Source organism: Homo sapiens, chromosome 18, assembly GCF_000001405.40.
Source record: "Homo sapiens chromosome 18, GRCh38.p14 Primary Assembly".
Taxonomy (NCBI): domain Eukaryota; kingdom Metazoa; phylum Chordata; class Mammalia; order Primates; family Hominidae; genus Homo; species Homo sapiens.
The window spans coordinates 47981110-48007537 of NC_000018.10; the positions used below are offsets into that span (position 1 = coordinate 47981110).

General features: G+C 46.8%; 4 annotated features.

Annotated features, from left to right (window-relative positions):
* Nucleotides 21565–22066: an enhancer, noted in NCBI's record as "H3K4me1 hESC enhancer chr18:45529045-45529546 (GRCh37/hg19 assembly coordinates)". NCBI's record gives its function as "activates a minimal SCP1, AML or CMV promoter by ChIP-STARR-seq in naive H9 embryonic stem cells {active_cell/tissue: H9 hESC(naive)}" and the evidence as "EXISTENCE:reporter gene assay evidence [ECO:0000049][PMID:30033119]".
* Nucleotides 21565–23038: a biological region, named in NCBI's record as "P300/CBP strongly-dependent group 1 enhancer GRCh37_chr18:45529319-45530518".
* Nucleotides 21839–23038: an enhancer, noted in NCBI's record as "P300/CBP strongly-dependent group 1 enhancer chr18:45529319-45530518 (GRCh37/hg19 assembly coordinates)". NCBI's record gives its function as "activates an origin of replication core promoter dependent on BRD2, BRD4, P300/CBP, MED14 and CDK7 cofactors, with strong dependence on P300/CBP, by STARR-seq in HCT116 cells {active_cell/tissue: HCT116}" and the evidence as "EXISTENCE:reporter gene assay evidence [ECO:0000049][PMID:35650434]".
* Nucleotides 22067–22566: an enhancer, noted in NCBI's record as "H3K4me1 hESC enhancer chr18:45529547-45530046 (GRCh37/hg19 assembly coordinates)". NCBI's record gives its function as "activates a minimal SCP1, AML or CMV promoter by ChIP-STARR-seq in naive H9 embryonic stem cells {active_cell/tissue: H9 hESC(naive)}" and the evidence as "EXISTENCE:reporter gene assay evidence [ECO:0000049][PMID:30033119]".

Below are 26428 nucleotides of genomic sequence, written 5' to 3' on the forward strand. Positions count from 1 at the left end.
ATACAGGCATACATGAAGTAAAAAGAACCATGTTTCTTCAACTGAAAATTAGACACAAAAGAAACCACTTTTAATAGTTTGCAGGTTGCCCTAGACCTCAGATTTTCAAACTACAGTGGACTGATACCCTGAGGCCCAGACATACCAATCGGAAAGTGAGGACTAGGCCTTTGAGCCTCATAGAGGAAGGTGAGCTGCCTCCCTGACACCCCTTCATTGATTTGTTGCTGTTTTCAAGTAGAAATAAATCTGAGATATTTGAAGATATTTGGAGGCGGCAACAGTGAGAAGAGCAGAAGCTGCTACTCAAGGCTAACACCCAAGGAGGACTTGATAAACACAGGACCGGGAAGCACCCTGCTTGCAGCTGCAGGCTCTCCCTCTCCACACAAACCTTTGAAGGGAGCCCTGGGGCTAGACAGCCATTATATTCTTGACTTGTCTCTAATCCCCCACCGCCTGTCTGAGAAGATAAATATTTTATATTCTTGAAGGCAGGGGGCTTATGGAGGAAGGCATGCAGTGCCCAGCATGACAGAGGCCCTGGAGAGAGGAGAGAGGGAACAGGGATCAGAATAGAGGAAATTTGAGACCTATTCTTAGAGGGATCTTCTCACGGTGGTCCTCTCTGTAAAATGCCTCCTTGCTCCCCAGTGCTGCTGGATGGAGTCCTGGCATCCCGGACTCTTCACAACCCCATTATCTACTTCCAGTCCAGGTGGATCCCTGCCTAAGGAAATGAGAGCTTTTTGTAGCTCCTCTCGCAGGACATGCTGGCTTTAGACCTCCATCTGGATCTAGGGCTTCCCTCGAGAAGTCAGCCAACCTGGTGGTGGAGGGCTATGTTTCTGGGTGCTGCCAACAGGCTGGAGTCTGGTGGCTGCTGCATGGGCTACATGAGGCCTGCACTACCAGTTCACATAAACACCCACTCACACAACATCTGCCCTTCCAACCAGCCTGCTCTCCTCTCTTAGGTTATCTGTCCAGACCCTGAAGACCTTTGAGTTTGAGGCCGCTGACCATCCTATCCCATACCAGGCACACAGACCAAACTTAATACTCATACCTGTTGAAATGAGAATAAGCCTCTCACCAAGGGGCGCACCAAGTCTATCTGCTCTGGCATCCAGCCTCAGAAACTGTATTAGTCCCTTTTCACATGGCTATAAAGACATACCTGAGACTGGGTAATTTATGAAGGAAAGAGGTTGAGTTGACTCGCAGTTTGTCATGGCTGGGGAGGCCTCAGGAAACTTACAATCATGGCAGAAGGGGAAGAAGACACCTTCTTCACAAGATGGTGGGAAAGAGGGACAGAGAGTGAGAGAGAGCCAGAGAGAGGGAGGGGGGATGGGGGGATAGTGGGATGGGGGGATAGAGGATGGGGGAGGGAAAGAAAGAGAGAGAAAGGGAGGGAGGGGGAGGGAGAGGGAGGGAGGGAGAGGGAGGGGGAGAGGGGAAGAGGGGGAGAAGGAGAAGGGGGAGAAGGGGAGAAGGGGAGAAGGGGAGAAGGGGAGAAGGGGGAGGGGGAGAGGGGGAGAGGGGGAGAGGGGGAGAGAGGGGGAGAGAGGGGGAGAGAGAGAGAGAGAGAGAGAGAGGGAGAGAGAGAGAGAGGGAGGGAGAGAGAGAGGGAGGGGGAGAGAGGGGGAGAGAGGGGGAGAGAGAGAGAGAGAGAGAGAGAGGGAGAGAGAGAGAGAGGGAGGGAGAGAGAGAGGGAGGGAAGGAGAGGGAGAGAAAGTGTGAAGGGGAAGAGCCTCTTATAAAACCATCAGATCTCGTGAGAACTTACTCTCACGAGAACAGCATGGGGAGAACCAACCCTATGATCCAATCACCTCCCACCAAGACCCTCCCTCAATACGTGAGGATTACAGTTGGAGATGAGATTTGGGTGGGGGCACAGAGCCAAACCATTTCAGAAATCAAAAGGCCGGAGTTTCCACTAGACAACAGTGATAGTCTTCTGGAAACTCCAGGTCTGGAGCAGGACTGGGCCACCTGTTCCCAACCTCCTTTTGCCTTCCCCCTCCTCCCCTTTCCTTCCCCCCCTTCCCCTTTCCCCTTCCTCCTTCTTCTCCTCCCCCAGCAGAAACCACAATCCCCAAATTGACCTTCCATCATGAAGCTGGGGTCAGAGTGCATTTCCATCAGTGCCTGCGTTTCATCATGGTCCTCTGGGATGGGAGCTGAGAGCCTGTTGCTGACGAACTATCACAGGCCAGCTGAAGCTTGGCTCCTTTTAAGCACTCTTTTCCCAGGTTGCCTTTTTTTTTTTTTTTTTTTTTTTTTGGTAACCTCTGGGCTCTTCCCTGACTCCTCTCTTTGCTTCTGCAATTCCTACATTAAATTGAAGTCTGGAGCTGTATTATGGATTGGCTCTGAAGACCACCCCCCTCACTCCTCCTGGAAGGCCACAGCCCCGTGGCTGTGTCTGAGAGCAGGTTCAACCCCTCCTTGTTCTGGGAGAAGAGTTGAGCCCCACAACTTTAGGATGGTGGTCCTCCAACTTGAGTGGGCATTGGAACCACCTGGAGGTTTGTTAAAACACAGACTCCTGGGCCCCACTCCCAGAATCTGATTCAGTAGGGATCCGGTGAGTTCTGATAATTTGCATTTCTAACAAGCTGTGATGCTGGCTCAGGGAACATACTTTGAGAACCACCAATCTCTGTCTCCCAGAGAAACTTGAGGCTGGAAGAGTCTTCTCTATGCACCTCCTCAACCTTCTGGAGTAGAAGGCTTCCCTGCAAGAAGCTTAGGTTCATCTATGAGGAAGAATCGAGGCTGTCCTGCTTCCTGTCCCTTTTCACTCCCTCCCCCTCTCTCCTTTTTCTCCCTTGCCTTTTTCCTTCTCTCCCTGCTATGGCTCTGCGTCTGTCTCTGGGCCTCTCCACGTGCACATACGTCCCTAGTGATGAGCTGGCTCTGGATTTGTGCAGCAAGCTCACAGCCATCTGGAGACGCTGGGCCACCCTGACTGACATATGCTAAAATACAGGCGGCAGAAAGACTCTGGGCAGAGACCAATTTGTTAATTTAATTGAGTTGCAAACAAGCAGGAAGCCAACAGGGTTTGTGGGAAACCTATTAGGTATTCTCAGAACCAGCAACCGGGTTAGGTCCTGAGCTGAGGCTGGCATCTGCAGGCCAACTGCAGGAGGAGGAAGGGACCTGTCTCACTTCAGGGCTGCCCCACTGTGCAGAGTGGGGCAGAGATGCTCTGTGGGGGCCTGTCTGGTGTAGCGGGTGTCATTAGTGAACTCCTCGTTTCCACCACCAGAGCCCCTTTACTAGGCTGGCATTCCATCCTCCTTCTCAGAGACTTGCTCTTTGGAGTGAATGAGCCCTACCTTGCTTTGTTCCTCCCCTGCTTGGGAAGCAGCCTGAAGCCAAGGGCTGGCTGACTTGGAATATAAAAGCTGGGCCCCTTGCAAAGTGCTTTCCCAAAACTGAGAGGTTTCCTGGGATGAAGGACAGTCCCAGGCAAACCTGGATGGCTGGTCACCCTACCACTATCTCACTATTTGTTTTCCAGAGCCTCTGATGAGATCAGGCTGAGACTAGACTTCAGTGGAGACCATATCCTGGCTGAGCCCCTTCCTGGCCTGCCCTGCTCCCCTTGCTCCTGAGCACACATGCCTATCAATCGTGTGCTGAATCCTTGCCTCAGGCTCTGCTTCTAGTGAGACCAGCCTAAGGATGCATCCCCTAAGAATGATCACTCCACCCTCCCTGCTGATGAAAACAAACCACAAATGGGGAGGGAGTTCTTCAGCACTGCTAATCGTTCTGAAGATAAGGAACAGTCAAGGATAATAATAATAGATATTTGTTGATTTCCAGGGGGGCCTCTTAGCTTCCCTGTGATGCCCCCTAACTCCAGCTAGTCATCAAAGAATTTATGTCTTTATTGCATAGAAAGCTGAGGACTTGAAGCCGGGAATACTTCATCTGTCCTCACCTTTACATTGGGTACTTACTATGTAGTCAAGGCTGCTCTAAGCTCTGTGAGGGAAACAAAAATGAGTCTGACACAGTCTCCGGCCTCCTGTGCAGGTGTGTTAGTAAAATAGTTTCACACAATGTGTTGTAAGGCCACATGGGTGAGTGCCAGGACTTGCTGAGGCAGTGAGGGAGTTCAGAGAAGGCATTGCTCAGGGTGGGTTGGGGGTGCAGGCAGCCTTCTCAGCCGAGGAGCTGCGACTGGGTTCTGAACAGGCTTAGAGTCACCAAGGTAAAAAGGAAATAGCAGAGATGTCCAGGATGCTGCAGTCTAAGGTAGAGAGGCTTGGGTGTGTTTTGGAGTCAGGGAGGGGCTGCTTTTCTGGAGGGATGCTTGCACAAAAACGGAGGGGATGGGGTCTGCAGGAGGAGATGGTGCTGTGTTCTGAGGACAGAAGAACGAGAATGGCTCCCTGCAAACTGGTCCTTTTGGGGAAAGAACCCAGGGCTGTGTCACCATAGCAAGTTCTTAACCTCTCTAGGCCTCCCTCTCCTCGACTGTGAAATGCAGATAAAAATATAGAACTGGGCCAGGTGTGGTGGTTCACGCCTGTAATCTCAGCACTTTGGGAGGTCGAGGCGGGTGGATCGCTTGAGCCTAAGAGTTTGAGACCAGCCTGGGCAACAAAGTGAAACCCCATCTCTATAAAAAATCCAAAAAAAATTAGCCTGGTGTAGTGGGGTGTGCCTGTATTCCCAGTTACTAGGGAGGCTGAGGTGGGAGGATCTTTTGAGCCCAGGAGGTGAGGCTGCAGTGAGCTGTGATCACACCACTGCGCTTCAGCCTGTTTCAAAAAACAAAAACAGAAAAGGAACTGGGTATGGATGGTAGTTTATGAAAATTAAATGAGGTGGCTCACACATGCTCTGGGCACTGAGCAATAGCTCATGCAGTGCTGGTTCCCTTTTCCCTGGTGCGATGTAGAAACAATCCCCCAGTCCCCACCCAGCAAACACTGTTGAAATCCTGAAACCTCAAGTCCAAGCTTATAAATAATAATGACAGACTGGCCGGGTGCAGTGGCTCACGCCTGTAATCTCAGCACTTTGGGAGGCCGAGATGGGCAGATCACTTGAGGCCGAGAGTTCAAGACCAGCCTGGGCAACATGGTGAAACACCGTCTCTACTAAAAATGATTATCTGGGTGTGGTGGTGGGCACCTGTAATCACAGCTACTCGGGAGGCTGAGGCAGGAGAATCACTTGAACCCAGGAGGCGGAGGTTGGAGTGAGCCAAGATCACACCACTGCACTCTAACCTGGGTGTTGGATGGAGACCCTGTCTCAAAAAAAAAAAAAAAAAAAAAAAATGTCAGACTAACCCACAAAAACTTCCTTAGCTCATAATGCACCAGAGTGTGTGTGTGTGTGTGTGTGTGTGTGTGTGTGTGTATATATGAATAAAGATATAGTACAAAATAATAGTGATAATTAAACAAAAACTTATTAATGAATAAAAAAGGATTTTTATTTATTTTTATAATAGCATAGGCTTAGAAGGAAAGGAGTGATGAGGAAGGGCCATGCTAGCCTTGACCTGAACCCTGAGAAGATGTCAAATGCTTCCTGCTGATCTGGGACAAATGTCACTGGCTGTTATGAAATAGATAGGGGAACCGATCAAAAATGTGCATCCCAGCCTTGAACTCTATCTGTCATGTCTTTCTGCCCCCTATGGATGGGGCTGGCAGGGTTTGCTCTAAAGAGCCACCACTGCTTAGATGGCCATGAATGATCAGGTCTTCTCCCAGTTCCTTATACCTTCTCCTGCACCCAGAGAGCCCCATAGTCAGTTCCCCATGAATGCTCAGCCATGTTGGGCCTGTGTATTAAAATGATGGTTTAATGTTACATGATCTATAGCACAGCTGCATTGGCTGCTAAATTGCCTCTTTACTAGACTTCATTATGGTTTTGTGTTTGTTCATCTGTGACTTCCTTTGTAACAAGCTGTCCTCATATTTTACATTTCAATATGCATTTTTTTGGTGAGTTTTAAAGCTGGTTCATGGCAACAGAAGTATGTCACATCCGACTGATCCATTGCTGAGAGATCAGGGTTTGTCTTCTTTTTTGTTGGTTTTATACCAATATTTTCAGATGCAGTTATAAACTTTTAACATCCTTACAATTTACCACAGCTCAGTTACACACCCAATTTTCTGCACTTACGTCATCTTTTTCATGCTGAAAGTTTGTTAACGGTAGAGTGGATAAATAAAGTGTAGTTGATTCATATAATAGAATAGTATACAAGAATAAAACTGGGCGGGGCATGGTGGCTCATGCCTGTAATCCCAGTGCTTTGAAGTGAGACTCTGAGTCTTAAAAAAAAAAACAGGAATAAAACTGAACAAACTGCAGCCACACTCAGCAACATAGATGAATCTCACGAATGCAATGTTGAAAGAAAGGAAGTCAGATACAGAAGGATATGTACGATAATGATTCAGTGATGCATTCTTGTGTGAGAAAGCCATAAGGAACATGAGATGGGATTATTATAAAAGTCACAGGGACAGAACTGAGGACTTCTGGGGCACTGGCTAGGTTCCATTTCTTGACCTCGAGGTAGTTACACATCTGTTTGCTTTAGAATATTTTGTTAAGCTATACATTTATGTGCTTTTGACAATTAAAAGGTTGAAAAATAACCACTATATATACTGAATTGAGTAGGAATTTTGGCCTTACAAAATTCTATTTCATTTGCCAATTATAAGCTTCCTGCTTTATCATTTTATCACTTATTTCTGAGTTTGCCAGTTATGCTCAGCTGAAATCCACCTAATGCCAGATAAATCTGAGAGTGAGGACTTCAAAATCTGAAAACTGCAGAGTCCTGCTAAGTATTTGGTATACTACAGGCATTGAGCTAGGTAGATCATATTAGTCATCATATTGGAGAAACAGAATCATTCTATAGTCATCCATCTGGGGAAACAGAACCAATAAGATGTCTATATATATAGGAAGAGATGTCCTTTAAGAAATTGATTCACATGATTATGGAGGCTGGCAAGTTCGAAATCAGCGGGGTGGGCAGGCAAGCTGGAACCCAGAAAAGCCAATATTCCAGATGGCTGTAGAATTAGGAAGAGCTGATGTTGAAGCTAAAGTTCAAAGGCAGCCTGTTGAAGAATTCTGTCTTGCTAGGTGGGCAATGCTGCTTGTTTTGTTTAATTCATGCCCTTCAACTGATTGGATGAGGCCCACTCACATAAAGGAGGGCAAATATACTTTATTCAAAGTCCATTGATTGAAATGTTAATCTCTTTCGAAAACAAACACCTCACAGAAACACCCAGAATAATTTTTGACAAATATCTGGGCAACCCCTGGCTGAGCCAAGTTGATGCATAAAAGTAACCATCACAGTAGGTGTCACATGACATGTACCTGGTTTACAGCCTCCTGAATTGATTATTCTGACCCCCATTTTGCAGAAAGCATTTAAATACCTTGTCTATGGTTGCACAGCTGGGAAGCAGCAGAGACAGGAGTTAAATCAAAGTCTATGTGACAACAAATACCAGTGGTGAACAAGCTTTTTTCCTTTTTTGGCATTAGGGCCAATTCAATAAAAAAAAAATGGGCTGCATATTTTCATTTCTTTTCATTTCATTTCATTTTATTGTTGTTTTTGTTGTTGTTTTGAGACAGAGTCTTGCTCTGTCACCCAGACTGGAGTGCAGTGGTGTGATCTCGGCTCACTGCAGCCTCTGCCTCCTGGGTTCAAGTGATTTCCGGCCAATTTTTGTATTTTTAGTAGAGACAGAGTTTCACCATGTTGGCCAGGCTGATCTTGAACTCCTGATCTCAGGGGGATCCGCTTGCCTCAGCCTCCCAAAGTGCTGGGATTACAGGCATAAGCCACCGCGCCTGACCATTACATTTCATTTCAATCCAAAATGAAAATAATTTGATTGAATCTCATGGGGAAAATGTATTTAAAATATAATTACCCAACTTACTGATGGTAAATTGCCAATTGCCTTTTGTTTTTAGTGACCAAAATGCTGTATTTGGACATTTTGAAAGAAAGCAGCTTTCTAATATTTCACCCTGACAGAAGACCAAAGTGGGCTGTGTGTTGCACATTCCTGCACTCTGATGCATGCCAGAAAGGTGAGCGAGGAAAGCAGGCTTAACTTTCCATGGAAGAGGATGCAGCTGGACAGATAAGCAGAAGGAAACTGCAGGGCACTGTCCAGGGCTTGAGTGCCTGATGGCTCAAACCTACCTTTCCCTAGAGGTAGAGTATTAATAGCACAGCACTTAACATTATCAACCTTGACCTGATGGTCTTTGGAGGCTACAAATGGAATGGACTAAGACAGACAGCAAGAGGGTGAAGGAGGGGAGGGGAAGTACAGAGAGAGGGAGGGTAATGAAGGAGGAATGGAGAAAACTCAAGCACCAGAGAGACGTCTTTTGAGAAAAAAAAACAGCAAAGCAAGCCAGAAGAAAGAAGCTGCTTAAGGATGTCTGATTTGTAAGAGAAAGGGGCTGTAATGGGCTTCACGGGCCCACAGAGTGGTGAAAACCTGGTGCAAGGGTATGCACAGCCCTGCAGAAGGAAGAAAGTGGTGCCCACAGAGATGGGGGCTGAGCCATTTGGGGAGTATATGGGAGTCAGAGAGGTGTGGCTGGTGGAGGTGGCGGGGATGGTCCTGGAAATATTGTCAAGGCCATGAGCTACCAGCCTGATGTGTGGATGGCTCTTTCTCTTTTTTATTTTTTTGAGACAAGATCTCACTCTGTCACCCAGGCTGGAGTGTAGTGGTTTGATCAAGCTCACTGAAGCCTCAACCTCCCTGGGCTCAGGTGACCCTCCTACCTTAGCCTCTTGAGTAACTGGGATTATAGGCATGGCTAATTTTTATATTTTTATAGAGATAGAATCTCACAATGTTACCCAGGCTGGTCTCAAATGCCTGGTCTCAAGCGATCTGCCCACCTTGGCTTTTCAAAGTGCTAGGATTCCAGGCGTGAGTCACCATGCCTGCTCTCTTTCTCTTTTTTACAAGTCGTATGCCAAAGGAAAGAGCATGGGCTTTAAAATATATATAGAAAGAGATGTATTATAAGAAATTGATTCACATGATTATGGAGGCTGGCAAGTCCAAAATCTGCAAGGTGGGCCAGCAAGCTAGAACCCAGAAGAGCCGGTATTCCAATGGAAATATCGAAATTCAACTTAAAATAATGTCACTACAATGCCTTATCCATATGACTGCCAATTTGTATTTATGTGACATATTTATGTGATACTGTATTAAGTGGTGCTGGTAAAAAGAGGATATTATTTATCTTTTCTCATGGAGTTGCAGGAGAATTCAATATGATAATAAATATGAAATTCCAGGCACAGAGCTGGCTCCTTTCTTCCTGCTGTCATCTTGAATAATTGTAGCTTTGCCACGTTTCACCATAGTCACTGCTTCACATATGTCATTTTTCTCTTTCCAGTGAGATGGAAGCACCTTAAGGGGTTTTCTCTCTCCAATGAATGGGTCACAATAGGGGAGAGAAGAAAGAGAGGAGGCCAGGATCAGACTGGGTAAAATCATGGTGCTACCATGACTGTTACCTTGGGAATGTCATTTACCTGCCAGAGCTCTGTTTCTTCTCACCTGTACAATGGGTTTATAACACCCACCTTGAAGGGATGTTGCAAGCATCAGGAAAAACGAGTGTTCAATGCCTGTCTTAGTAGGTCCTAAACAATGATTGATCCCGGAGTAGCTAGCCCAGAGCTAAGCCCAGAGTAAGTGCTCAATAAATATTTGTGAATGGGACTCTCTGAAGCCCAGTCCCAAGGTGAGCTGGATTTCCAGGGTTTGGCAATGAAAATCCTTGGATTGTGTAACCTGAGAGCTGAATATGTGAGTGAGGGGGTTCTTACAGCAGAGCACCAGCACAGGCGGCCAAGGAACCCAGGCACCCAGCCTTCTAACCCCTTCCTCTGCCTCAGGGAGAGGCGTGCATGCATCCCTGAGCCGGTCAGTGGCCACAAGGGACTCAGCCCCAGGGGACAGCAGGTGTCAGATCAGCCTCCACAGACCCTCCACGGCATTAATCCACTTGTCAGGGCAAATGCTTACTTCCTTCATCCTCTCTTCCCCTGACTTTGAAACACTGAGCCCTGGTGGAAAATTAAAACCCACTTTGTCAGATTCCCCAGAGAAAAAAGGGAGCTTGGAGCAGATGTTTAACACCAGAATTAGCACTCACGGGGCACTGGCAACACCAGCTCCCAGCTGAAGACCTCTGATCCCAGACATGGAAGCCATTCACTTCCTAGGGGTGGCCAGACCAGGATAGTTCCACCTTTCAAGGAGAAAGGTCACGAGCCCTTGGATGGCTTTAGAGTGGTCTTTTTCTGCCCTGCTTATGGCCTCTGCTGTGAGGAAATCTGGCTGTAGCCATTCAGGTTAGCCCTGATTGCATACAGGACTCTCCTCTGGAACGAAGGAGTCTCACCAGGGACACTCTTGGCTGCCTTCAACTGTACATCACCTCAAGTCCTGCTCCTCTGCCGATCCAGACCCTGACCCCAGTGTACTACCTTGACAGTATGGGCAAGCCCTCAGGCCAATCCTAATGCTTTTCATCCCTTCAAAGGTGTTCAAGTATTCCCCCTCCATGCAGCCTTACCTGACTACTCCAGCCCAGCTCATCAGCCTCTCCCCTGACCTCCAACTGCCCTTGGAGTTCTGAGTTTAGGCTGTGTTTATACACACACGTGCTGTTGGACTGTCTTCCACACAAGGAGCTCTTGTCCCCCCGAGTTAGTAAGTCCCCACAGGTCCTTTCCTACTTTCCCACCTCTGTCCAACACATGGCTGCTTACCCAGTCCCAGCCTCCATCCTCTGCACCCTGGGCCCCTGCAAGAGCCTTCTAAATGGTTTGTTGTGCCCACTCTTGCCATGGCACCATCATTCACCAGCCAGAGGGCTATCTTTAAAAAGCAACATTGTGACCTCAAGTCTCCCTCCCTGTCCCCCACCCGAAAAGCCTTCAATGGCTTTGTATTGCCCTGAGCATGGCTCACAAGCCCTCTGTGATCTCATGATTACCAAGCAAATGTGACAGTAGTTACTAGTTACTGTGAGTCCTCCCAGTGAGATTAGAAGGCCTGTGAGGGCAGGAATCTTGGTTACCACTCTATGTACAGGGCCTAGCACATTGCTGGTACCTCAGTACATTTTTGTGAAATGATGGGATGAGTGAGTGGATAACTGAATCATTGAATGCCCCTGTGAGGCCTTGAGATTGCTGGCAAGCAGTGGTTGCATTTAGTCTCTATCCTAGGTCGCGTTTTCTGGTAGCAGAATGCCTGGCAGGAGGAGTTGTGAGCACATGACTTCTTAGAGAAGGGCATCCAGTGGACACCAGTCAGTGAGCTGGGGAAAGCCAAGTGTGGTCGAATAAAAAATATATTTGCTCTTTGCCCCATTCCTGGCATAGATATTCCTAAAACTTGTGGAACCCCCTGAAAGACAGGAGCATCTTTTATCATTTATAACGAGCCCCCTTTGAACATATCTGAGTCTTTGCTAATGAGATGATTCTTGGCAGCGCCCCTAGATAGCTTCAGGATGGGGGCTGGTCACCAGAGGAACCAACCAAGGGTCTGTGCTAACGTGTGGAGATTATTTCGTTTTTCCTACATTATGGCAGCTTATCTCAAAATAATGTCTCTCTCCCTTACTTCTTTGCTGATTGTCTTTTAAGCCAGGGAGAGTAGGATCAATGGGCCCCAAGTTCACAAGTCCTGCCCTTGTCCATGTGGCATGAATGTGAGCAGTTCTCCCCATCTGAGACCTGCTGCCACTGTGTGGGATGGTGCCCCTTTGCAAGCTCTGGCCTCTCCTCTGCACACAGGCAGTTGCAAGCAGAGATCTCATTGAGAACCAGCTTGCAAAGGGTAATGCCATGATCCTGGGTTGGGAAGGGTGTGGGGTGCAGTTGTTGGGGAGGCTGCCCAGGACGTTACTATCTCGCTTCAGCTGAGCCAGCCATTCCCAGTCACAGGGCTCCATTCCAGTTGCTGACTGCTCTCAGTTTTCTGCTTGTGACACATCATTAAAGCCAGGCTCTGTCCCTGTTCCCTGCCACCTCGTTTTAATACTAATTGCAGCCAAAGCAAATTAGAACAAATCTGCTGTTCCTGAAACATGCTGTGCACAACGGAGCCAAATGTAAGTGATTTTATTTTTACGCAAGTTATTTATGTGATTGCTCTCTTCCATCGGTGCTGATAGGAGGATGACTGCTTTTGAAAGTAGAGGCAATGGGTTCCTCACTGTCAAACAAACAGCCAGGAAGTGACTGCTGGGAGACAAATAGATCCCAAGACCATCCAGCCATACCTCAGCTTTGGAAGGAAGAAAGAGGAAGAAAATGCCTATGTCCTGATTGGCAAGGGGTGGGGCTTGCTTTGTGGCTGCCCTCCTCTCCAGAACATTGGTCAAATGTCTGTCCCAAAGTCCCATCCAGCCTGTGGCATGTCAGATCAAGGCCAGAATTGTCAGTCTCTGTGTTGCAGCTCCTCTGCCGCTGCCCAGAGGCAAGTGACTGGTGTCAAAACAGACCCTTTGTCCTTACCACTTCCTTGGAATATGCAGAAAGCATGTGTCTGGGGAACTTGAGCTGCCAAGCTTTGCTTTGGGGAGACTTCAGTGAAAATATATGCCACTTCTTGGTGGCAGGACTTGGTGGCAAGTTGAGCACATGCAAGAGGCAGACAAAGCATTTATTTAGAAAAACAGCAAAGCGGGGTAAAAAAGAAAAAATGGAAGAGAATTACTAAACTTTTGATATTTGATCCTTCCTTCCATGTGGAAAAATATGAACACTGGTAGTTTTTCCTTTTGTATCATTTGAATTTCGATGTATGTGGGGGAGTGGCCTGCAACATCTGTTCAGGATGCGGGATTTTTATGATCTCAGACACCCTTGCCCCCATGGAAAGGTGGAGAATGGGAGAGGGTGGGATATCAGGAATTTGTGTTAGAATTTTACGTTCTTGGAGGTTGATTTAGGAGTTCTTTGTTTGGCAAAGCCAGATCTAGAGAACAATAGCCCAGAACATGGCCCATCTCCCTGTGGGTATAAATAGTCCTTCCTGGGGCCTAGGAGTGGCCTGTGCAGTGCACACTTGAGTGAGCAACAGCATCACCTCTGGGGCTTGTTAAAACAGATTGCTGGGACCCACTGGAGAGCGTCTGATTCAGCAGGTGCAGCGTCGGGCCTGAGAATGGACATATCTAATAAGTTCCCAGAGGTGCTGATGCTGCAGGGACAGGGACCATACTTTCAGAACCACTGGCCTGGAACATGGTATGACCCAAGCTGAGTGGGCTGACATGCAGTTCTTGAGGTGAGCAGACAGTGTGGAACATTTGTGGCACTAGGTCAACAGTGGCTGCCATAGCCGGAATCTGTGGAGGTGTCAGTGGTTTCAAGCAGACAAGTGGCTATCCAAGGAGGGAAAAAAGAAGCCCTGATTGTAGCTGTTTCCAATTTCTGTGGTGTAAATACTCCTATCACGGCCAGTTTCAAGCTACCAATATGATGCTACTGAACACTGAGGAAAAATGTGCCTAATTCACTCTTTCAGCACATCAGGGAGGAGAGGGTTACTGATGGGGAACAGGCCTATAGCTTGGCACGTCTGCTGGAATGACTAAAAGGGCTGTTCACCACTATGGGAAAGTCCTGAGGCCTCTCACTGGAAGAATGAAGAGCACAAAGTATGGGAGTGGAGTAGCCAGAAGAAAACACTGGTTTGTTTCTCTAAGAGAGAGGAGACTTGCATCTGGCCTGCCGGCCCTTCTTTTGCCTGCTGACCTGGGACACAAAAAATTATTACATGTGTTTTTTTTTTTTTTTTAAAGTTAGGCTGGGTGGGGTGGCTCATGCCTGTAATCCCAGCACTTTGGGAGGCTGAGGTAGGTGGATCATGAGGTCAGGAGTTAGAGGTCAGGAGTTAGAGACCAGCCTGGCCAACATGGTGAAACCCTGTCTCTACTAAAGATACAAAAAATTACCCAGGCGTGGTGGTGGGCATCTGTAATCCCAGCTACTTGGGGGGCTGAGGCAGGAGGATCGCTTGAACCCAGGAGGCGGAGGTTGCAATGAGCAGAGCTCGCACCATTGCACTCCAGCCTGGGTGACAGGGTGAGACTCCGTGTCAAAAAAAACCATATATGTACATATTTTTATGTTTAATAAAGTTAAATTTTAGAGGTACAAAAAAAGAAAATAAACATCATATATTGTTCCACTGTGCAGAAATAAACACTATTAATATGTGGGTTTCTATTCTATTTTGTTTAACATGTATACACACACACACGTAACTATTCACACAGGTTTTATGGAGTTGTCTTACATATACTGTTTTGAAACCCGATTCTTGCATGTAATAGAGAATCATGAACACCTTCTCATGTAATTAAATGTTCTATAGCACAATTTCTAATAAGTGAAGAGTATTCCCTTATGTAGATGTATCACCACTTATTTATTGAATCTCCTCTTCTTGGAAATTTGTTTGTGTCCCACATTTTTTAATTACAAACATGCTCTGCTGAACAGCCTCATATCTAAATATGGCCTCATATCTAAATATGATTATTTCTTGGAATTCAGTTGTCTAATAGGAAACACTGACTCAAGCACAAGTGTGCATGTTTTTAAACTTTTGATTCATAGTGTCAAGTTGCCTTCCAGAAAGGCCATCGCTGTTCACACTCCCATCAGCAGCATTTGCAAGCTCCCTTTTCATCAACCTCTTACCCACAGTGGGTTTTAAAACTCAAATGTATTAGTGAGGCAGTTTGTTTTTTGCTTTTGTTTTTTACGTTACAATGAAAGAGTCATGTCGCAAGAAACTGACTGGCATTCAAATATAAGACAGGCAATCAATGAAGGTACCACCCCGCTGAACTTCAAAGTTCCACTAAAATACTTTAATATTTGGCTTGCAGGGAGATGATAAAAATTGCAGCTGTTGCAGTCAGCTATGCTTTCTACAACGTAAGTGTCTTGATTGAAGCAGAGAGGGTGGGAGGAGCTGGGGCACCCAACAGTGCTCAGGGAACAGAGGACCAAAGAGCCACCAGGCAGAACCATCTCTCACAATAGAAGACTGACATTTTGTGATCACAGCTCCTGAAAGGAACAAAGGATGGACAATAGCAGGAACTGGAGGAGAAAAAGAACAAGCTATTAACAAGCAAATTAAGACCAGACAAGGGAGATGAATCAGAAGTGATCCAATAACCAGCCCTGGATTAAGTGCATCTGGCTCTCCCGGGGATTTCACAGTCATTTGCTTCAAACTGCTAATCTTTTCTGAGAGGTTCCCTTCAAGCCGTCTGGAAGGAATGAATAAATGGATGGCTTAGCCAAATAGTTACTCCTGCAATGTTTTATACATGGGTGAGCATATACATTGTCATGCCTCATTGATTCAGGATTTAAAGTTTGACTGTTTTACAGAATTACAGAATTTTAGAGTTAGAAGTGACCTAAACGGCATTTAGTCCATCTGTCATTTTGCAGACGAGGAAACTGAAGCTCAGATAGGTCATATGATTTTTTTCCTATTTCATGCATCAAAATATTGGCAGAGCTAGGACTAGAACCCAGGTCTCCAACTTTTAGTCCAATACTGTTTTACTAACTAGTTGCCATTGGTTACTCTAGTATTTTTCTAAGTTTACTTAGCTGCGAGCAACAGAAATATTTAACATAAGTAACAAGACCAAAAAAGTAGAATCAATAATTTCACTACTTGTCTTTCCTAGGTGGGATATTACAGAGGCAGGTGCATATGCACAGGAGGGTGAGAAAAATAACTTGAGTGTGTGTGACATGGGTAAATGATAAAGTCTCATTGCCTCATCTGTAGCATGGGGTCAATAATAGGACCTAGCACACAGGTCGGGGTGAGGTAGCAGAGAGCTTGGCACATGGCATTCAATATATATTAGCTAGTTTCTTCTTTTTTTTCCCTCCTCCTCCTCCTCCTTTCTTCTTCTATTATTATTATATGAGAGAATGCCAGTTAATTCTTGGTTTAAGTTGAGGCAGAAAGTCACCTTTCAGGGGCTGTTACTTGCATACAAATATCGAAAGTCACAAAGGCACCAATTGCCCTGGGCGAGAGCATGTAAGATCTTTTGTGGCTGGATCTGTTTGCCTCCTGATACTTCCTAGCATGCTAGTTGGTGGCTAGGGAGGGAGGCAGGTCTGCATAGAAGTCAAGGGAACTAAGCTGGAGGAAAGGGAGAGACTAGTGACTCACCCCATCACTTGGGACTAGAGACTGTAGGGAAGGCTGTCACTGGAATCCCCTCCTGACCTCGCTTTCCTTGGCATAGAAGGTTGTGCTGCAAAAACAACAGCTGAGCTTAGGAGAGTGTGAGCAGAAAAAGGATCACTCTTGGAGCAGAGCTCAGGATGTAGGGTCTGTGGTCTCTGACAGTGCTGATTACTGTTAGCCATACTTGTAAGCCGGAATAGGTTAACAACCCGGCAGTGCAGGAATAGTGACCAGCAGCGCCCCCATGTGGCTGCAATGGAAGCAGCACAAATACTCAGTCGAGCACACTTGGGAGCTCTCTCTGGCTGGTATTTGCAACCTGAACTGACTTTGAAATAAATAAATCCTGGGCTGTTCTGGGTAAAGCAAAAGGTCTCTGGAGGGATATGTGGGATTTTCTGTTACTTTGGGCAGCAATTGCTCATTTAATTATTTTGAACCATAAAATAGAATTGCCCTTTACTCAAAGCTGGTCATAAGGGATACTAGTCTATATCCTTGAAAACACGTATTTATAAATACATACAGAACAATCACAGCTGAAGTCCTTAATAGTTCTGAATTAAATATGTTATGCATAACTTTGAAAGCTTTATTTAGCTAACGTCCCTAGCTTTAGTTAATAATTATAATAATAGTAACAACAAAACATCAACTGTATACTGACTACATGCCAGATTCTATATTAAATTCTTACATGCATTATCTCATTGAATATTTACAGACACTTTATCAGGTGGGTACATTTTACAGATGAGAAAACTGAGGGCAGGGGGGTGATGTGCACAAAGTTACATGTAACTAGGAGTGAAAAAGTTAAGATTTGACATAAACCTGACCTGACTTTAAAATTCTGCCTCGTAAAAGCAGTGTTTAGGCCGGGCACAGTGTCTCACGCCTGTAATCCTAGCACTTTGGGAGGCCGAGGTGAGTGGATCACCTGAGGTCAGGAGTTTGAGACCAGCCTGACCAATGTGGTGAAACCCCATCTCTACTAAAAATACAAAACTTAGCTGGGTGTGGTAGCGGGTGCCTATAATCCCAGCTACTTGGGAGGCTGAGGCTCGAGAATCGCTTGAACCTGGGAGGCGGAGGTTGCAGTGAGCCGAGATTGCACCATTGCACCCCAGCCTGGGTGACAAGAGCGAAACTCCATCTCAAAAAAAAAAAAAAAAGCAGTGTTTACAGAACGTTGCATTCTCTGGTATTCCTCAGACTAACACCTGGGAATTTTTAGCATCTATTTGATGCTTGCTATTATAGTTTTATATCAATAGTAAAGTCATTATTCCTCGCTTATTTATATACATTTATCTGTATATTGACTGTCTCTCCTAGTGCCTGGTATAAAGTAGAAGCTTAATCAATAATAGTGGAATAAAAAATGAGTGTTATGCTTGGTCTGAATATTCCCTCCAAATGACGAACATTCCAGGTTTTCCAACCAACAAAAGGAAGCTCCAGAAAGAAGTTATGTTTCTGGGGTTGCCTCCATTAAGGTCCATGGGCCAAGACTGTTGGTGTGGGCTGTGTTGGCCCTGCCAGGCCTCTCCAGGATCTGTCCTGTGGCCCTCAGCAGTTAGGCATTCCCCTCATTTGCTCACTAGCAGGCCTCTGTATTCCCATCCTAGAGCTTTCCCCTGCCATTCTCCCCTCCCAGAATGCCATTCTCCACCTCAGTTTGGGCTACTTTCAATTCTTTTTCTTCAAGACATACCTTTTCCCCAGTCTTCCTTGCCCCTTCACCTTCACACACATAGATTAGTCTCCCTGTTTTGGGAGCTCCCATACTTGCAGTGTCTTTAGGAGTGGACAAGGCTGAAAGAGGCCCAGATGCTACCCAGACCTGGATGGTGAAATGGTTTGGCTGTGTCCCCATCCAAATCTCATCTTAAATTGTACTCCCATAATCCCCACATGTTGTGGGTGGGACCTGGTGGGAGATAATTGAATCATGGGGGCGGTTTCCCCCATACTGTTCTCATGGTAGTGAACAAGTCTCATGAGATCTGATGGTTTCATCAGGGAAACCCCTTTTGCTTGGCTCTCATTCTCTCTTACCTGACACCAGGTAAAGATGTGCCTTTGCTTCTCCTTTGATTTCTACTGTGATTGAGAGGCCTCCCCAGCCATGTGGAACTGTGAGTCCATTAAACCTCTTCTCCTTTATAAATTACCCAGTCTCGGGTATGTCTTTATCAGCAGTGTGAAAACGGACTAATGCAGATGGCAAACTTCTCCTTGGCCTAGGGTTGCTAGGAGGTGCTTCAGGGAGCCCCCTTGGGGAAAGGGTCAGGAAAGGGGAGCCCATGCCGGAAGAGTCCTGGGTCTCCTCTCACCACTTAAACAAGATGCCCTGCTTCCATCTGTAGGATGTGACTTCCTTTGAAACAAGATGTTAACTGGTCAAAAATACGAAAAACCACTGCTCTATTTCCACCTCCTGCTTTTACAGATAAGAAAACCTCAACTCTTATTTAGACCTCAAAATTCCTCCTTCTTTCCTTGGTTCCTCCCTTCCTCCCTTCCATGTAGCAGAGTTGTGGCAAATGGGCCCCATGTGGGACACCTTATTTCTCTGCTTTCCTTGCAGCTATTTCCGTGTGGCCATGTGACAAAGTTCTCACCAACAGAAAATGAGTGGAGTGACAGGGGCAAGTTTTGCATCACTCGTTTAGGAGGAAATAGCGTGTCCTTCCCTTTTCCTCTTTCTGGGCTCCCATGTGCTGGGTCACAAATGGGCAGTGACTCAGCTTGGGCCATGCCTGTGGGGACAACTGCCTGAGCCAGGGGTCTCTAACTTTCTTCGTGACATGAGCTCCCTTGGCAGTACAGTGAAGCCTATGGACTTTATCACTCCATATGCATTTATTTTAATGTATAAAATAAAATACAGAAGGTTACAAAAGAAACCAATTATACTGAAATACAGATATTAAAATAACTGTAACATAAGCACATACACAAGCACACCTAAATTTGTGACACAGTAAAAATGTACTTCTTTATTGACATTAAATAATAAAATCTAGCAGCAGGGCTGATAACAACTGTAATTTTAAAATGGTAATAAACATTAAGTGATATTTTGAGATATCTTCAACATTGTAATGTGAGATGAAAAATCTTTATGATTTCTATTGGCCACAAAGTCTTTGATCTTGCTAGTACTTCAGAGGTTTATTGCCGTTTGCATAATTGAAGGAAATGCTAAATTTCATGTAGAAGTTTTTGAAAGTACAGATGTAATTTTTTTCTATGCAAGTTCACAAATCCCTTGATTTCTATCTATGGACTCCAGGTTGAGAACCCTTGCCTTAGGGCAGGAGTCCCCAACCCCTAGGCCATGGACCAGTACTGGTCTGCAGCCTATTAGGAACTGGGGCGCACAGCAGAAGGTGACCAGTGGGCAAGCAAACAAAGCTTCATCTGTATTTACAGCCACTCCCATCGCTCACATTACCGCCTGAGCTCTGCCTCCTGTCACATCAGCAGTGGCATTAGATTCTCATAGAAGCGTGAGTTCTACTGTGAACTGTGCATGTGAGGGACCTAGGTTGTGGCTCCTTATGAGAATCTAATGCCTGATGATCTGTCACTGTCTCCCATCACTTCCAGATGGGACTGTCTAGTTGCAGGGAAACAAGCTCAGGGCTGCCACTGATTCTACATAATGGTATGTTGCATAATTTTTATACTTTTCATTATATATTATAATGTAAATTGTATATTATATGACAATAAAAATAAAGTGCACAATAAACGTAATGCACTTGAATCATCCCCAAACCATCATTCCCCCACCCTCTGGTCCATGGAAAAATTGTCTTCCACAAAACTGGGGCTGCCTCCGTTTAGGAAGCCCATGGGCCAAGGCTGTTGGTGTGGGCTGTTGGTGTGGGCTATGTCCCCATACCGGTCCCTGGTGCCCAAAAGGTTGGGGACCACTGCCTTAGGGGATGGGACAGCAAAAAGATGAACAGAACTTGGATCCCTGAATGTTTTTATGGAACAGAGCTGCCCTGCCAGTCTGGGCCACTCACCTCTAGACTATTATGAAAGAGAAATAAACAAATCTTACTTAAGCCATTGTAATAGTGAGTTCCTATTACAGCAATTTAGCCTATATCCTAATTCCTATACCCAGAGAGAAAATGGTTTGTTACATATTCTGTTTTCTGCATTTATATAAATGGTTTTCTGTTAGTTGGTCTCCCTAACCATCTCTTCCTCTTTTGCATATAGACAATATCTAGATCAGGGTTGGGTAGAGACTAAGTGTTCAGTTCATATGTGCTGAATTAATACAAATCTGTATAATTGAGTACAAAACACTAGAAAAGGCCAGGCCTGGAGGCTCATACCTGTAATCCCAGCACTTTGGGAGGCTGAGGTGGGTGGGATGGCTTGAGGTCAGGAGCTCGAGACCAGCCCTGGCCAACATGGCGAAACCCCATCTCTACTAAAAATACAAAAATTAGCCAGGTGTGGTGATGCGCGCCTGTAGTCCAAGCTACTCAGGAGGCTAAGGCAGGAGAATCGCTTAAACCTGGGAGGCAGAGGTTGCAGACAGCTGAGATTGTGCCACTGCACTCCAGCTTGGGCGACAGAGCAAAGAAAAAACAAACAAACAAACAAACAAAACCACTAGAACACTAGCGGTCAGTGACCTCTGGGGCGGGGGGCCTTGGCCAGTGAAGTACTGTGTGTAAACCTTGATTTTTGTGGTTAGCTGTGTCACTTTGAATAGCCATAGCCATTTACACTCTCTCAACCTCAATTGCATTATTTATTATAACAGAGATAATAATTACTTGAAGTGTTCAAAGTACCAATGGGGTAGACAGATGATGCCCTAAAATCTACGTTGCTGTTCTTTAATATCAGTCACACTTGGAGTCCTTGAGTGTGGGCCTCCAGCACTTCCGAGATGGCTCCCTGCCTTTAGTTGCCGCTTACTGACTTGGGGGCAAAGGTAGAGGTAGGGGGCTATGAACATTCTCCTCTAGCCTGCTCTCGTTACTCAGCAGCAGTGATAACTACCCTTTTCTGAGCACGTCCCACATTCCAGACACTACGCACTGGCTCACTGTAGCCCTATGAAGAAAACACTATTGGTGTGATTCCCATTTTGCAAGGAAACTGAGGCACACAGAGGGAAAGTAACTTGCCCAAGGTGTCTTTCCATTACCAAGTGTCCAATTCAAGATTTGAACTCAATACTAGTGATTTGTTACACAGATGCACAGGCCATGTGTGTGGTGTGTGTGCATGTGTGTGTGTGTGTGTGTCTGGTGTGTGGGGAGGGAAACACTGGCTGTTTGAGATCCCTGAGCTGAGGAAGGTGAGCACAGAGTGAGCAGCAGTTGAAGGTGCCCCACGCTGCCCAGTTTGGGGATTCCAAGCAGGAGGGCCCGGGAGTAGCTGTCCCACTGACTTGAATGCACTTCAAGCCCTCTCTTGTTTCCCTAGGGCCGAGCTCTCTTAGCCTCCCAGCCCCAGTTTCAGGCCTCCTGGGTGGCATCCTCAGCTCACCTGCTGACTCCTTCTCTTCATCTAGGCCACTTCACTCCCTCTGGCCCCTGCTCAGTGCCTGGGCCTCGGCCTGGTGGCCTCTGGCCTGGCCAGGGGCATGCGGATGGCAGTGGCATTCCAGCAAGGGTGAGATCACCACCCATCGCCCTGGAGAACAGGCTGCCAGGGGAGGTGTCTGCGTCACTTGTGGCCTTGTTGGCAGATCATAAAAGCTGGAAATGCCTGATGAGGTAATTGTGCCCCAGGGCCCTGGGGGCCAGACCCTGCGGGCTCCCTCCATGGCTGCCACTTCCCATCACCTCCCTCTGGAGAGGCAGAGTGAGCAGGCTGCTTTTCTCTTCTTTTGCTTCACTGTGGGCCCCCTTCTGGCCCCTGGGAGGAGAGGGCAGAACCTCCATCTTCATGCCAGGGAGCCCCAGCTCCCCAAGTCTTTGCCAACAACTCTGAGACCCTGCCCTGTGGGGCCCTCCTCCAGGAGGGTCCAAGTAGCTGTTCCGTTGATACAGAGGGGTGTGGAAGAGTAGGGAAGGGGAAGCAATAAATAAAATAATGCTGATGTAAGAGGCTTGGTTTGAGCCAAGCTGCCTGGGAGAGACCCAGAGTCTAGAGCTAGTGTTGCTCACTGGCAGGGCTTGTCCATGCCTTTTCTGACTCTCAGTTTCCTCATCTGTGAAATGGGTGTGTTGGCCTAGAAACGAGGATCTTAATCTGCTGGGAGTGCAGATCCCTCTGAGGCTAGAGGCAAAACCGTGAGAACATGAATTCTAGAGCAGAAGGCTGACGCCTTTCCTTGGATGCTACCGTCAGGTCCCCAGTGAAGTTGGGTCTTTAAAATCCTGCCCCACCTAACAATCTCTGTTGCTTGAAGGTCACCAGGAAATGACACAGAAGCCTTTGGAGTGGTGCCCAAATGCTCACGTAGGCCTGCACCCTGCAGCTCTGAGGGCCCAGCCCCTAGGAAAGGGAGGGCAGTAGTTCCATGTGCTTCTCAGAAGAGCTGGTGCCAACAGGGTCCCTTTGAAGTTCCTGCTTAGGTCCTGGGCCCCAAAAGGAATGGCACAAAAAGACAGCCCGTCCCCGTCCTCCTTATAGCCTCATGGTGCCTGGTGCCATAAGATGGAGTGACGCAAATGTTCAGGCTGGGGAGGAAGTGTTGGGTCCAGTGTCTGAGGTCAGCCACATCACAGAGGTTCTTGCTCTGCTCAGGCTCTGGAAAGAATTTCTGCCCTGCAGCTGCAGTCAGCCCAGCTGGAGCTGAAAGAGTGGAAACTGCAGTAACAAAGCAATTAAAAAGCTGCAAAAGATCATCAGCTTGCTGACCACATTTCAAAGAATGCGAGAAAGCAGGTGATCATATTCCCAAGCCTCCAGCTTCTGTGAGAACCCATAGGTCAAGCACAGGCGTCCAGGCCTGTCCCACCAGGACCCTTTGCCCTCTCCCCAGATGATTTAGCACCCAGATGGTCCTCAGACTCACAAGGGGCAGAACACCTTGAGTTTATAAAGGTGCCCTGCAGCATTGAACTCACATGGTTAATTTCATCCCACATCAGAGGCTTATAAAAGGGGGTATCTAGAGTGATCACCATTACCTTCTATATTCATGATTACCCCCATTTTTAGGTGAGGAAACTGAGACTCAGGGGTTACCCAGCTATGAGACACAGGCCTGGCCTTGCCACTCAAACGTTCTGAGGCCAGGTTGACGTGTTTCTCACTCACTCATCTGCTCAGTTAAGTCATGATGCCAAAATACATATTATAGTCTGAAACAGGAGTAGGCAATGAACAGCCTGCTTCAAAACCAGCTCAGCACTTGTTTTTGTAAATAAAGTTTTATTTGAACAGCCATGCCCATTCATTTACATATGATCTATGGCTGCTCTTACTACAATGGCAGAGCTGACTAGTTGCAACAGAAACTGTATGGTCCACAAAGTCCTCAAAGCCTATTATATTTCCTATCTGGCCCTTTACAGAAAACATTTGCCCTAGTCTGGAATATTTACATCAACCTGGATTTCCTCAAGAAAGCAGGTCATCAGGAAGATGACTTCTTTATTTTTATTTTTAATAATTTCATCCTTTAGATTCAGAGGGTTTATGTCCAGGTTTGTGACATGGGTATATGGCATGATGCTGAGCTTTGGGGTACAAATGATCCCATCACCCAGGTAGTGAGCATAGTGCCCAATGGTTTTTCAACCCCTGCCCCCTTCTTGCCCTGTCCTAATAGTACCCAGTATATATTGTCATTTTTATGAGTACTCAGTGTTTAGCTCCCACTTATAAGTGAGGACACAAGTATTTGGTTTTCTTTTCCTGCGTTCTTTCACCTAGAATAATGGTCTCTGGCAGCATCCATGTTGCTGCAAAGGACATGATTTCATTCTTTTTTATGGCTGCATAGCATCCCAAGGTTGTACATGTACCACATTTTCTTTTTTTTTTTCTTTTGAGACGGAGTCTCGCTCTGTCGCCCAGGCTGGAGTGCAATGGCGCGATCTCGGCTCACTGCAAGTTCCGCCTCCTGGGTTCATGCCATTCTCCTGCCTCAGCCTCCCGAGTAGCTGAGCCTACAGGCACCCACCACTACGCCCGGCTAATTTTTTTTTTTTTTTTTTTTTTTTTTTGAGACGGAGTCTCGCTCTGTCGCCCAGGCTGGAGTGCAGTGGCGGGATCTCGGCTCACTGCAAGCTCCGCCTCCCGGGTTCACGCCATTCTCCTGCCTCAGCCTCCCAAGTAGCTGGGACTACAGGCGCCCGCCACTACGCCCGGCTAATTTTTTGTATTTTTGGTAGAGGTGGGGTTTCACCGTGTTAGCCAGGATGGTCTCGATCTCCTGACCTCATGATCTGCCTGCCTCGGTCTCCCAAAGTGCTGGGATTACAGGCGTGAACCACTGCGCCCAGCCATGTACCACATTTTCTTTATCCAATTCACTGTTGATGGGCACCTAGATTGATTCCATGTCTTTGCTCTTGTGAATAGTGCTGTGGTAAACGTGAGTGCATGCATCTTTTTGGTAGAATGATTTATTTTATTTGGATATATACCCAGTAAGGGGATTGTTGAGTAGAATGGTAGTTCTAAGTTCTTTGAAAAATCTCTAAATGGCTTTTTTTTTTTTTTTTTTTTTGAGACGGAGTCTTGCTCTGTCGCCCAGGCTGGAGTGCAGTGGCATGATCTCGGCTCACTGCAACCTCCACCTCCCTGGTTCAAGCAATTCCCCTGCCTCAGCCTCCCAAGTAGCTGGGACTACAGGCGTGCACCACCACGCCCAGCTCTTTTTTTTTTTTTTTGTATTTTTAGTAGAGACAGGGTTTCACCACGTTGGCCAGGCTGGTCACGAACTCCTGACCTCAGGCAATCCGTCCACCTCTGCCTCCCAAAGTGCTGGGATTACAGGCATGAGCCACTGTGCCTGGCCCAAATTGCTTTTTACAGTGGCTGGACTAATTTATATTCCCACTAACAATATATAAGTGTAGGGAGATGACTTCTTAACCAAAGACCTGATGTCTAGGAGTTTGCAGCAATAATGCAAATGACAACAACTGTATTTAATCAACTGTTAATACCACCCTGCTGGTGCTTTCTCCAAAGCTTTCAAGTTGCAGCCTCAGCAGATAATGAGGTATGGGTCGTAATTTTAAGAAAACCACCACCAGATGAAGAAGCTTGTGTCTGAGGTTAGAAGTGGAAACAGGGATAGCAGGCAGGATTGAGGGAAACTGCCCCGGGCTTAGGATGAGACCAGAGACAGGTTGGCTGCTGTGCGGGAGGGAAGCCACTCGGCTGGATAGGATGATGTAAAGTGCTCCCACAGCGTCTTGTCCACAGGGGGTGCACCACCAGCATCCTCCTTGGAAATGCTGGCCACAGGTGCCCTGTGTAGAAGCACAAGTGAGTTGGTGAAGAGCGGATCCCCACCACCAAGGACTGTGTGGAAGGAATGAGTCCACATCCCTGACTGATTTGGCCGACTCCGTGTGTTCCCTGGGCTGAAGTGAGTGTCCTGCTGGACTCTACAAGGCCACCCTCAGCGTGTCAGTTTCTGGGAAAAAGGTGGGTAATCCTAGGAGACTCTCTGGACGTCTCCTTCTTGGGACTGGCCTTGGGAGGCGGAAGGGGACCTGCTGTGGCCCACTGGGAAGTGGGCTGTGGCGCAAAGATAAATGGGCCCATGGAGCTGACCAGACAGGCAGTGTCTGCAAATGCAGAGGGTCTAGATCAGGGGTGTCCAGTCTTTTGGCTTCCCTGGGTCCCAATGGAAGAAGAATTGTCTTAGGCCACATATAAGATACACTAAGACTAACGATAGCTGAGTAACTTTTTAAATATCACAAAAAAACACATTCGTACTGTTTGAAGAAATTTTACGAATTTGTGTTGGGCCGCATTCAAAGCCATCCTGGGCCTCACGCGGCCAGAGGCCGCGGGTTGGACAAGCTTGGTCTGGATTCAGGAGGGTCTGCCTCTGTTTCCCCCCATCATTCTTGACCCCCGTTGAGGTGTTAGTGGATGCTCCGGCCGGGTTTCAGCCA